The sequence below is a fragment of the Homo sapiens genome, chromosome 12 (assembly GCF_000001405.40).
Source record: "Homo sapiens chromosome 12, GRCh38.p14 Primary Assembly".
Lineage (NCBI taxonomy): Eukaryota > Metazoa > Chordata > Mammalia > Primates > Hominidae > Homo > Homo sapiens.
In genome coordinates this window covers 31,764,493-31,777,821 of record NC_000012.12, presented here as the reverse complement: position 1 = coordinate 31,777,821, position 13,329 = coordinate 31,764,493, and the positions used below count along the sequence as shown (strand labels likewise).

Sequence of the window (13,329 nt, the reverse complement as noted above, 5' to 3'; positions counted from 1 at the left end):
CCTGTAGTCTCAGCTACTCGGAAGGCTGAGGCAGCAGAATGGCGTGAACCTGGGTGGCGGAGCTTGTAGTGAGCTGAGATCGCACCACTGCACTCCAGCCTGGATGACAGAGCCAGACTCCGTCTCAAAAAAAAATAATAATAAATAAAATAAAATAAATAAATAAATAAATAAAATAGAGCCAGGTACAGTGGCTCACTCCTATAATCCCAGCACTTTGGGAGGCTGAGGCTTTAGCCCAGAAGTTTGAGACCAGCCTGGGAAATATAGCGAGACCCTGTCTGTGTAAAAAAAGTTTTTAAATTAAATTAGCCCGGCACGGTGGGACATGCCTATAGTTCCAGCTACTCTAGAGGCTGAGATAGGAGGATCACTTATACCCAGGAGATTGAGGCTGCAGTGAGGTATGTTCACGCCACTGCATTCCAGTCTGGGCGACAGAGCAAGACCCTGTCTCAAATGAATAGAATAGAATAGAATAGAATAGAATAGAATAGAATAGAATAGGCCATACTGTCATTTATTTATTTATTTTTTTTGAAAATACAGATGGGAGCCGGGCATGGTGGCTCATGCCTGTAATCCCAACACTTTGGGAGGCCAAGGTGGGAAGGTCCCCTGAGGTCAGTAGTTCAAGACCAGCCTGGCCAACATGGTGACACACCATCTTTACTAAAAATACAAAAATTAGCTGGGAGTGGTGGTATACACCTGTAGTCCCAGCCCCTCAGGAGGCTGAGGCAGGAGAATCACTTGAACTCAGGAGGCAAAGGTTGCAGTGAGCCAAGATCCCACCGCTGCACTCCAGCCTGGGTGACAAGGCAAGACTCTGTCTCCAAAAAAAAAAAAAACAAAACAGACAGGGTCTCACTAAGTTAGCCACACAGGTCTCTAACTACTGGCCTCAAGCAATCCTCCTGCCTTAGTCTCTCAAAGTGCTAGGATTATAGGCATGACCCACTATGCCCAGCCATTTTTATGAGACGGGGTCTGGCTTTGTTGCCCTGACTGGAGTGCAGTGACACAATCTAAGCTCGCTGCAATGTCTGCCTCTTGGGCTCAAACCATCCTTCCATCTCAGCCTCCTGAATAGCTGGGACTACAGCTGTGCGCCACCACGCCCAGCTAATTTTTTTTGTATTTTTGGTAGAGATGGGGTTTTCCCATGTTGCCCAGGCTGGTCTCAAACTCCTGGCCTTAAGTGATCCTCTCGCCTTGGCCTCCCAAAGACCAAGGATTACAGGCACACCTGGGATTACACTGTTCAACCACTGGCTCAAGAAAAGCAGAAAGTCTTCTCAATGGCTCAAAATTCATTTTATGTTCAATGACAGGCCTTCTGCAAATTGAGACTCTGAGCTCGTTAGGGTAGTGACTGTAATTCTTCCTAGACACAGAAGGCCAACAGGGTGATTGTCACAACAGCACTGAGCAAAAGCCATTACATATTAGTAGCCAATGAGAATCAAGATTCAGGACCCTGCAGAGGAGAGCACTCTCATATGCCAGCAAGCAGAGTGGTGGAAGGGGAGCTTGGGTGCATGCTCATCCATTACAGCCAGTGGGAGGCTCTGAAGTCTAAGTAAGATGAAGACGCACTGCTGTACTGGTTGGCACCTAGGCAGTAAGTAACAATTCACTAGATAAAATTTTAGGTGGAACTACAGATTTGAAAAGTTCTGGGATGCAATATAATATCTATGGGAGCATTGCTATTAACATGAAAAGTCAGTATCTTGAAAACAAGTAGGGTCCCCTCCCCTGGAATATTGAAGAGATATGAAGACTGTATCTTCAAGTACCTGAGGGGAGACCTAATACAACGAGTTCTGTGACTTTCTGCCAGACCCGGTGCAGGGAATCCATGAACTGGTCAGGCCTCCTGCTCTGCTTGGGGACCCATAGCCAGAAAATGTGCTTTAGGTTCTAATACAGTCAGAATTACATTAATTATTTGGTTTACTGAAAACTCAGGCCAGGTGCAGTGGTTTACATCTGTAATCCCAACGCTTTGGGAAGCTGAGGCTGGAGGATTGCTTGAGCCCAGGAGTTGAAGACTAGCCTGGGCAACATAGGGAGACCCCCGTCTCTATAAAAAATAAAAAATTAGCTGGGCATGGTGGTGTGCACCTGTAGTTCCAGCTCCTCGGGAAGCTGAGGTGGGAGCATCCCTTGATCCCGATCCCAGGAGGTTGAGGCTGCAGTGAGCTATAATCACACCACTGCACTCCAACCTGGGTTGGAGACTCTGGAAAATAAAAATATAAAGAGAGAGAGAGAGAGAGAAAGAAAGAAAGATAGATTAAAAAAGAAAGAAAGAAAGAAAGAAAGAAAGAAAGAAAGAAAGAAAGAAAGAAAGAAAGAAAGAAAGAAAAAACTTAAGCAAGAGGGAGACAGGTCATTACCATAGCCTTTTTTTTTTTTTTTTTTTAAATCTGGGACAGAGTCTCCCTCCGACTCCCAGGCTGGAGTGCAGTGGTGTGATCTCAGCTTACTGCAATCTTTGCCTCCCGAGTCAAGCAATTCTCCTGCCACAGACTCCCAAGTAGCTGGGATGTCTTGCTCTGTCGCCCAGGCTGGAGTGCAATGGCACAATCTCAGCTCATTTCAACCTCCGCCTACCGGGTTCAAGCAGTTCTCCTGCCTTAGCCTCCCAAGTAGCTGGGATGACAGGCATGCAACACCAAATCTGGCTAAATTTTGTATTTTTAGTAGAGACAGGGTTTCTCCATGTTGGCCAGGCTGGTCTCGAACTCCCGACCTCAGGCGATCTGCCCACCTCAGCCTCCCAAAGTGCTGGGATTACAGGCTTGAGCCACCGTGCTGGTCCCTGTCATAACTATTAAAACAAAAAACAAAAAACAGCTACTCAAGATACTTGATAGCTTTTTGTTGAGCAAAGGAAAAATGAAAACTCTATTGATGATGGCATTTATAAATAAGAATGTCTGAAGATTATTTTATGAACTGACATTATTTTTTCTTCCCATCCCTTCTTCCCAAAGAACTGCCCTTTATGACTCCAGGGAATGCCCTCAAACAAGAGTGCTAGCAGAAACCTAGAGGCAAACTGTCTTAGGTTCCAAAAGATAGCCTGACTGGTAAAAGAAATTGAAAACAGGTGTTTTCATTTGCTTTGTATTAAAAGAATTGAAAGGCCGGGCACGATGGCTCATGCCTGTAATCCCAGCACTTTGGGAGGCTGAGGCGGGCAGATCACAAGGTCAGGAGATGGAGACCATCCTGGCTAACACGATGATACCCTCTCTCTACTAAAAATACAAAAAATTAGCCAGGCGTGGTGGCAGGCACCTGTAATCCCAGCTACTCGGGAGGCTGAGGCAGGAGAACTGCTTGAACCCAGGAGGCGGAGGTTGCAATGAGCTGAGATCGTGCCATTGCACTCCAGCCTGGGCGACAGAGCAAGACTCCATCTCAAAAATAAAAATAAAAAAAGGAAACTATCTCAGAGGAAATTTGCCATTTATGAGAAAAGTAGAGCGTAGTTAAAATGAATCTTCTGAGTTATGGGGAAGAACAGTATCTCCATCTCTTATGTTTCCAGATGCAGCAACTTCAGGTAGGTGAGTGGCTTTCTACCTCACTGCACATTGGTTCCCTGGGTGGCTTTGAACTGTGAGATTGGCTGAGAATCACTGAGTATCTCCCTGTTCCTCATTCGCCCCTCCCCAGGGAAATAGGAGTGAGCAGTCAGACATGTGAGTTAGTAAGAACAGACTGAGCTCAGCCCTTCCTCCACCTTTCTAGACCTGTGTGTTACAGGGAGTGGATCTGCTTCCTATGACCCTGCCTTTGCTGAGAAGCCTGTGTTGTTCAGCTGTGCCAGCAACCAGGCGGGGATGTCTGGGGAAAGTGTGAGCCTGCCCACTTGGCCACATCTTCCAGTTGACTTTATTAAGGTGATATTTTGATGCTCACTTATCCTGACTCCTGTATTTCTCTCAATTGATTCTGAATTCAAGAGGAAGAAAGATACTCTGAATTCAAGAGGAAGAAAGATACTCTGAATTCAAGAGGAAGAAAGAAAGATAAATATATTAGCCCACCAAGGAAGGAATTTTTGGCTGGTCTAAACTTTTGCCCCAGACCCAGGGACCCTGGGGATATGACCTTAGATTTACCTTCTTGCCACTCTGCTCCCCAGAATGTATTGATACAAGATAAACTTGGAATGTTAGCAGGTCAGATTGCCCCTGGCTTACAGAAGCATTCATTGTGAAACCCCTGATTGATGAGTTGCAGCTGCCCTGTTAGGCATGTGATTTAGCACTTTCTCCCAGAGGCTATGCAGCAAGCATGGACTACACATAGGTAGAGAATGGAAAGGGTGGCTGCCCAGAGGTCAAGTCTTCTGCACACGCTTCAGCCTCACCTCTTGCAGCTGAGCATGCTGTGTGGTGGAGGGGCATGGAAGCTGCACCCAGCATTGCCAGACATCAGAAGGTCTCTGCTGTTTAGCTGTGTGCATTGTTTACCGTGTACCTTTTAAGGCTAAGTAAACTGTGACTTGTGAGTCTTTTTTTTAAAAATCAATTTTGATCTTAGGACTAACAGATATTGAGTAACATGTATAGCAAATAGTCCACTAAATTCCTACACCTGAGTCCTGCCCTTCAATAATTGGATTATTAAAGTTGTTTGTTCAATCACTTACTTGTAGTCAATTCTGTAGGTTAGCTCACCTGTCACTCATTCCAACTCTTATTTCAATTTTCCTTCCTTCTTTAGAGAAGGAGGAAAGCTAAAAACTTCCCTTCTCAGATTTCCTTGTAGCTAGGGGTGGTCCCATGACTCAATTCTGGCTAACAAAATGTAAGCTGAATTTTGCTGGTACTGCCTCTTCCATTTCTTTTTTCCTGCCTGGAACCGGTGAGGATGCCTGAGGCTCAGCAGTCATTGCTAAGCATGGTAGTGATCAGGACACTAGGGGTCAGTTTCCTTGCTGGCATTGTTGAGGCCATCACAATCAGCCTTGAGCTTCCCGTTCCCAGATTTCCTGCTATAGGAGACAGAGAGATCCCTTACTTGTTTAAGCGGTCAAGTGCAATTCTAACGGATATATTTATAAATTCAATTTCCACGTGTGGTAGGAAGAATAAAGGTCCCCTAAACATGTTCGTGTCCTAATCCTTGTGACCTGCAAATATGTTAACTTACATGGCAAGAGGGATTTTGCAGGTGTGACTAAATTAAGGCCCTCAAGGTAGGAAGAGTATCCTTGATCCTCCAGGCAGGCTCAAGGTAATTGTAAAGGTCCTTACAACTGAAAGAGGGAGGACGAAGGGGTTGTCAGAGAAAGAGATATGACAACAGAAGTAGGGTCAGAGAAACGTTTGTTGCTCGCTTTGAAGAAGGAGAAAAGGGGCTGTGAGCCAAGGAATGTGGGTAACCTCTAGAAGCTGGAAAAAGAAAGGAAACAGATTCTTCCCTAGAGCCTCAAGAAGGAATTCAGCTCTTCCAGTATCTTGGTTTTTAGTCTAGTGAGACCTGTGTCAGATTTCTAATATACTGAATCATAAGATGATAAATTTGTATTGTGTTAAGTGACTAAATTTGTGGTAATTTGTTACAGCGGAAGAGAAAATTAATACACTATATTATGACCTTTTAATATAAAATTATGATAGGTCAAAAGAAATTAAAATTTTCAGTGCAAGATTCCTCTAGTTTTTAAAATCAAGACCAAGCAAAAAAAGATGGAACTTTTTTTTTTTTTTTTTTTTTTTGAGATGGAGTCTCACTCTGTTGCCCAGGCTGGAGTGCAGTGGTGCTATCTCAGCTCACTGCAAGCTCCACCTCCCGGGTTCACGCCATTCTCCTGCCTCAGCCTCCCAAGTAGCTGGGACTACAGGCGCCTACCACCACACCTGGCTAATTTTTTTGTGTTTTTAGTAGAGATGGGGTTTCACTGTGTTAGCCAGGATGGTCTCGATCTCCTGACCTCATGATCCGCCCACCTTGGCCTCCCAAAGTGCTGGGATTATAGGCGTGAGCCACCGCGACCGGCCTTCGTTTTTAGAATTTAAAAAAAATCCCCACAAACCTAGAAAAAGACTGATTTTTTTTTTTTTTAAACAGAGTCTCACTCTGTCACCTAGGCTGGAGTACAGTGGCGTGATCTGGGCTCACTGCAACCTCCGCCTCCTGGGTTCAAGCGATTCTCCTGCTTCAGCCTCCCGAGTTGCTGGGACTACAGGCATGTACCACCATGCCCAGGTAATTTTAGTATTTTTTGGTAGAGACGGGGTTTCACCATGTTGGCCAGGCTGGTTTTGAACTCGTGACCTCAGGTGATCCACCCGCCACAGCCTCCCAAAGTACTGGGATTACAGGTGTGAGCCACTGTGCCCAGCCGAGACTGAAATTTTTATAGCATGGTACCAACTAAACACCAATGCTTGTTTTAAACCTGTTGTAATTGATCAGTGATAGCTCCTTCAGCAAACACATCTAGGTAACAGAAAATGAACTTCTGTAACCCATGCTTTTATGACTGATTTTCCAAACTACTCCTGCCTCAGTAACCAATACACCCCATAACAAACCCTTCCCATAAAGCCTATATGTTTTTTGAGACGGAGTCTCGCTCTGTTGCCCAGGCTGGAGTGCAGTGGTGCAATCTCGGCTCACTGCAAGCTCTACCTCCTGGGTTCACGCCATTCTCCTGCCTCAGCCTCCTGAGTAGCTGGGACTACAGGTGCCCGCCACCAGACTCAGTTAATTTTTTTGTATTTTTAGTAGAGATGGGGTTTCACCGTGTTAGCCAGGATGGTATCGATCTCCTGACCTCATGATCCACCTGCCTCAGCCTCCCAAAGTGCTGGGATTACAGGCATGAGCCACCATACCCAGCCAAAGCCTGTATTTTCTTTGTTCAACAAGACTAATCAGCATAGCTTTGGGTTGGTGATCTCATCCTTTGATATACTGTATATTTTTCCTAAACAAAGGGAGACTTCATTTAACAAGGGTCAAGGCAAATACAGAATATCTAGTAGATAAAAGCAGAGTACCAAGTTTTGTACTATTCAATGAAGGGAGGTAGGAAAGTGGTATATGATAATTTGTTTTAATTATGTGAAGAAATAACTTTATGTATTGGTTTGAAACTCTTGATTTTTTCCTATGTTTTTATTTGAAAAACAAAAATGCTAAAAATGAATAAAATCCTTCATGATCCCACCATCTTCATATTTGAAATATTTAAAAAAGTAAAAGTCTTCCCCTTGTCTCCTTTCTAGCAATCCCATCCAACAGATGTAATTGCTATTAATAATTCTAGCCAGGCGTGGTGGCACACACCTGTAGTCCCAGCTACTGAGGAGGCTGAGGCAGGAGAATTGCTTAAACCCAGAAGGTGGAGGCTGCAGGGAGCTGACATTGCACCACTGCACCCCAGCCTGGTCGACAGAGTGAGACCCTGTCTCAAAAAAATAAAATAAAAATAAAAAGTTGTGTGTATCCTTTCAGATGTATACTTAGGCACGGGGTGTTATAATAAATCTATTTTAACCAACTGCCATAGTTGCTGGGGCCTTTAGAACCTATTTTATGTAATTGGATATAGTTTAGTAACTTCAGCATGCTTGTGAGCTTCTTGAGAACAGCAGCCAGGATACACTAATCTCTGTATAACAGATAATATTAAATAATAGGTTTCCAGCAAATACTGACTAATTGAATTAAGAATTAGGAATTTCTCTAATAAGATCCCACTTAATCTCTGGTATAAGAATACAATTTGTGGTCCTAAAGAGATGTGGGTTCAGATACTGGATCCAACTGTAGTAGCCTCTCTGGCATCTGAATGTTTAAAGTTCTGGGACAGCCTTGCTCAAAGAATAGTCAGCTGGTGGTCTATCAAGTAGTCAAGAGAGTTTGGCCATTTCAGAGGAAAAAAATAAAGAAGTATAATAATTTTGTTCAAATACATTTTATCAATGTGAAATTAAGATTAAGAATTATTTTTGGCTGGGTGCGGTGGCTCATGCCTGTAATCCCAGCACTTTGGGAGGCCGAGGTGGGTGGATCACGAGGTCAGGAGACCAAGACCATCCTGGCTAACACAGTGAAACCCCATCTCTACTAAAAATACAAAAAATTAGCTGAGCGTGGTGGTGGGTACCTGTAGTCCCAGCTACTCGGGAGGCTGAGGCAGGAGAATGGTGTGAACCTGGGAGGTGGAGCTTGCAGTGAGCTAAGATCACACCACTGCACTCCAACAGAGTGAGACTCCATCTCAAAAAAAATTTTTTTTACAGAAATTCTGCTATATTTTCAGTGTATCATTTATTTTTATTTTTTTGAGACAGGGTCTCACTCTTGCCCAGGCTGGAGTACAGTGGTGAGATCATGGTTCACTGCAGCCTTGACCTCCCAAGTTCACTCTATCCTCTCACCTCAGCCTCCTGAATACCTGGAACCTCAGGAGTGTGCCACCATGCCCTGCTAATTTTAAAATTTTTTGTAGAGATAGGATCTTACCATGTTGTCCAGGGTTGTCTTGAACTCCTGGGCTAGAGCAATCCTCCCCTCTTGGCCTCCCAAAGTGTGGGATTACAAGTGTGAGCCACTGTACCCGGTCCATTATTTACTTTTAAATTAGATGTGACTTTCATAAGACTCAAAATTGAAAAAGGTTAAAGATAAACAGTATAAGGTCTCCCCCTAACCACATCCCCTAAGCCAGTATTGATCAGCATGTGTATCCCCTTACAGAGATATTTTACAGTATACAAGAAAACACACACACATACACAAATACACACACATTTTGCCCCCCGCCTTTTTTTTTTTTTTTTTGAGACGGAGTCTTGCTTTGTCACCCAGGCTGGAGTGCAGTGGCACGATCTCAGCTCACTGCAACCTCCACCTCCTGGGTTCACGCCATTCTCCTGCCTCAGCCTCCCGAGTAGCTGGGACCACAGGTGCATGCCACCATGCCTGGCTAATTTTTTGTATTTTTAGTAGAGATGGGGTTTCACCGTGTCAGCCAGGATGGTCTTGATCTCCTGACCTCGTGATCTGCCCGTCTTGGCCTGCCAAAGTGCTAGGATTACAGGCATGAGCCACCACACCCGGCCCATTTTGCTCTTTTTTACACAAGCAACATAAGCTATACACTTTTCTGCACCTTACTTGTTCCATGAAACAGTATATCTAGGACAATGGTCTCCTACTTTTTTGACACTAGGGACTGGTTTTGTGGAAGACAATTTTCCATGAATCAGGGTGGGGAGGGATGGTTTCAGGATGATTCAAGCGCATTACATTTATTGTGCACTTTATTTCTATCATTATTATATTGTAATATATAATGAAACAATTATACAACTTGCCATAATGTGGAATCAGTGGGAGCCCTGAGCTTGTTTTCCTGCAATAAGATGGTCCCATATGGGGGTGATGGGAGACAGTAACAGATCATCGGGCATTAGATTCTCATAAGGACACTCAACCTAGATTCCTGAATGCTCTGGTCATGATAGGGTTCATGCTCCTATGATAATCTAGTGCCACCGCTGATCTGACAGAAGGTGGAGCTCAGGTGGTAATGTGAGTGATGGGGAGCAGCTGTAAATACAGATGAAGCTCTGCTTGCTTGCTCACTGCTCACCACCTGCTGTGGGGTCCACTTCCTGACAAGCCACAGACCAGTAGGATTGGGGACCCCTGGTCTAGGACTCTCCTCCCTCCCTCCCTCCCTTCCCTTCTCTCTTTCTCTCTCTCTCTCTCATCTAGGACTCTTTCTTTCTCTCTTCCTTTCTTTCTTTCTTGCTTTCACTGTCTCTCATCTAGGACTCTCTCTCTCTCTCATCTAGGACTCTTTCTTTTTTTTCCTTCCTTCCTTCTCTCCTTCCTTCCTTCTCTCTCCCTCCCTCCCTCCCTCCCTTCCTTCCTTCCTTCCTTCCCTCTCCCTCTCTCCCTCCCTCCCTCCCTCCTTCCTTCCTTCCTTCCTTTCTTCCTTCCTTCCTTCCTTCCTTCTCTCTCTCTTTCTTTCATTTTCTCTCTTTCTCTCTCTTGTCTAGGACTCTCTCTCTCTCTCTCTTTTTTTTTTTTGTTGAGATGGAGTCTTGCTGTTGCTCAGCCTGGAGTGCAATGGTGTGATCTCGGCTCACTGCAATCTCTGCCTCCTGGGTTCAAGTGATTCTCCAGCCTCCGCCTCCCAAGTAGCTGGGATTACAGGCACACACCACCATGCCTGGCTAATTTTTTTTTTTTTTTGGATTTTTAGTAGAGATGGGGTTTCACTATGTTGGCCAGGCTGGTCTCAAATTCCTGACCTCAAGTGATCTGCCCGCCTTGGCCTCCTGAAGTGCTGGGATTACAGGTGTAAGCCACCCACCGCACCCAGCCTCTTTCTCTCCCTCCCCTCCTCTTTCTTTTAATTTTTAGTAGAGGTGGGGTTTTACCATGTTGGCCAGGCTGGTCTTGAATTTCTGACCTCCAGTATTCTGCCTGCCTTAGCCTCCCAAAGTGCTGGGATTACAGGCATGAACCACCATACCTGGCCTAGGACACTTTCCATATCAGTAGACAAAGAACAGCTTCATTCTTTTTCATAGCTGCAGAGAATTCTTGAATGGATACAAAGACTGTTTTCTTAATTACAAAGAAGATTTTAATAAATAGCTTTGTACAAATGTCAATTTAGGCTTTCCTCTTCGTTTTGACTAGTTTTCTATCATTTCCCTTCTTCATCAAACGTACGTTGAATTTTTATTTTTTTCTGTTTGAACTTTCAAATCAGCCTGTCTTTTTTTTAAAAAAATCCTTAGAATTTGGGAGAGGAGTTATTATAAATTAATTTAGAAAGAATTGAAGTTTTATCATGTTGAAGCATCCTATATTATCAAGTTATGCCTTTTTATTTGTTCAAACCTTCTCTTTTTTTGAGACAGTCTGGCTCTGTTGCCCAGACTGGAGTGCAGTGGCACAGGCTTGGCTTACTGCAACATCTGCTTTCTGGTCTGAAGCCATCCTTCCACCTCAGCCTCATGAGTAGCTGGGACTAAAGGCTCAAGCCAGTAACGCCCGGCTAATTTTTGTATTTTTTGTAGAGACAGGGTTTCACCATGTTGGCCAGGCTGGTCCCAAACTTCTGAGCTCAAGTGATCCACCCACGTTGGCCTCCCAAAGTGTTGAGATTACAGGTGTGAGCCACCACGCCTGGCTGCAAACCATCTTTTATTTCCTTTAGTAGCGAGTTTAAAGTTTTCTTCGTTTAGATTTTGCACATTTATTGTTAGATTATTCCCAGAAATTATTTTTCTGTTGCTATTGTAAATAGATGTTTTTGAACTGCTTATTGTTTGTATATATGAAAATGATTGATTTTGACTGTTAATGTCATGCTAGTCCACCTGAATTCTCTTATGATCTATAAAATTTTGTGTTTTTCTCTCAGGTTTTTCCATGTATATAATCCTATCATCTAGAAATAATTTATAAAATTACCACATCCTTTCCCTGTAAAACCATTTTTTCCCTTTTCTAAAAGTTTAATTCTGTTATAATAAACTTAAAACTTAACCATATTTTTGAGATATAATTCAAGCACAAATAAATTTCACCATTTTAAAGTGTGTAGGTCAGTGATTTTTAGTGTAGTCACAAGGTTGTACAACCATCACCACTAGTTTCAAAACATTTTTATCATCCCAAAGTGAAACTCCGTAGCCATTATTAGTCACTCCTCATCCTTCCTTCCCCCTAAGCTCTGGCAGCCACTAGTCTATAGTTTGTCTCTGTGGATTTACCTATTTTGGACATTTCCTATAAAAAGGGAAGCTTTTTGTATATAGCTTCTTTCAGTGAGTACAATGTTTTTGAGGTTCATCTATGTTTTAGCATCTTTCATACTTCATTCCTTTTTATGACTAAATAATACTCGATTTTATGGATATACCACATTTTGTTTATCCATTCATCAGTTGATTAACATTTCAGTTGTTTCCTTTTTTTGCTATCTTATATGAACATATGTTTTCAATTCCCTAAGGTACGTACCAAGGAGTGAAATTGCTCATCATATTAGTAATTCTAGGTTTAAGTTTTTTTTTTGTTTGTTTTTGAGACGGAGTCTCCCTCTGTTGCCCAGGCTGGAATGCAGTGGCGCGATCTCGGCTCACTGCAAGCTCCACCTCCTGGTTTCTCGCCATTCTCCCGCCTCAGCCTTCCAAGTAGCTGGGACTACAGGTGCCTGCCACCACGCCCAGCTAATTTGGTTTCTGTATTTTTAGTAGAGATGGGGTTTCACCGTGTGGCCTCATGATCCACCTGCCTCAGCCTCCCGAAGTGCTGGGATTACAGGCGTGAGCCACCACACCCGGCCTCTAGGTTTACCTTTTAAAGGAACTCCCAAACTGTTTTTTTACTACCATTTCATATTTCTACCAGCAATTTCCATGGGTTCCTATTTCTCCACAACCTCATCAACACCTGTAATTGTTTTAAAAAATTATTATACGGCTGGGCCCAGTGGCTCACACTTGTAATCTCAGCACTTTGGGAGGCTAAGGCGGGTAGATCGCTTGAGGTTGGGAGTTTGAGACCAGATCGGCCAACATGGTGAAATCCTGTCTCTACTAAAAATTTAAAAAATAGCTGGGCATCGTGGCACATGCCTGTAGTTCCAGCTATTCAGGAGGCTGAGGCATGAGAATTGCTTGAACCCGGGAGGCGGAGGTTGCAGTGAGCTGAGATGGGATCACACCACTGCACTCCAGCCTGGGCTACAGAGTGAGACTCCATCTCAAAAAAAAAAAATTAAAAGTTAAAAAAATTAGAGTAGCCATCATAGTGGGTATGACTTAGTATCTCCTAGTTTTGATTTGTAATTCCCTAATGATTAGCAGCATTGAGCATCTTTTCATATGCTTATTGGTCATTTGTTGTCTTCTTTGAAGAAATGCCTATTCAAATCCTTTGTCTTGGCCTGTGGATGGCTCATGCCTGTAATCCTTGCACTTTAGGAGGCCGAGGCAGGCAGATCACTTGAGGTCAGGAGTTCAAGACCAGCCTGGCCAATGTGGGGAAACCCCGTCTCTACTAAAAATAAAAAATAAAAAATAAATTAGCTGGGCGTGGTGGCGGGCGCCTGTAATTCCAGCTACTCTGGAGGCTGAGGCAGGAGAATCACTTGAACCTAGGAGACGGAGGTTGCAGTGAGTGGAGATTGCGCCACTGTACTCCAGCTTGGGGGACAGAGCAAGACTTCATCTCAAAAAAAAAAAAAAAATCCTTTGTCAATTTTTTAGTTGGGTTGTCTTTTATTGCTGAATTGTTAGAGTTTTTTATATATTCTAG

General features: G+C 43.6%; 1 annotated feature.

Annotated features, from left to right (window-relative positions):
* Window positions 10,892-11,105: a silencer, noted in NCBI's record as "fragment chr12:31919651-31919864 (GRCh37/hg19 assembly coordinates)". NCBI's record gives its function as "represses an EF-1alpha promoter that drives an FKBP-Casp9 reporter gene in an ReSE screen in K562 erythroleukemia cells {active_cell/tissue: K562}" and the evidence as "EXISTENCE:reporter gene assay evidence [ECO:0000049][PMID:32094911]".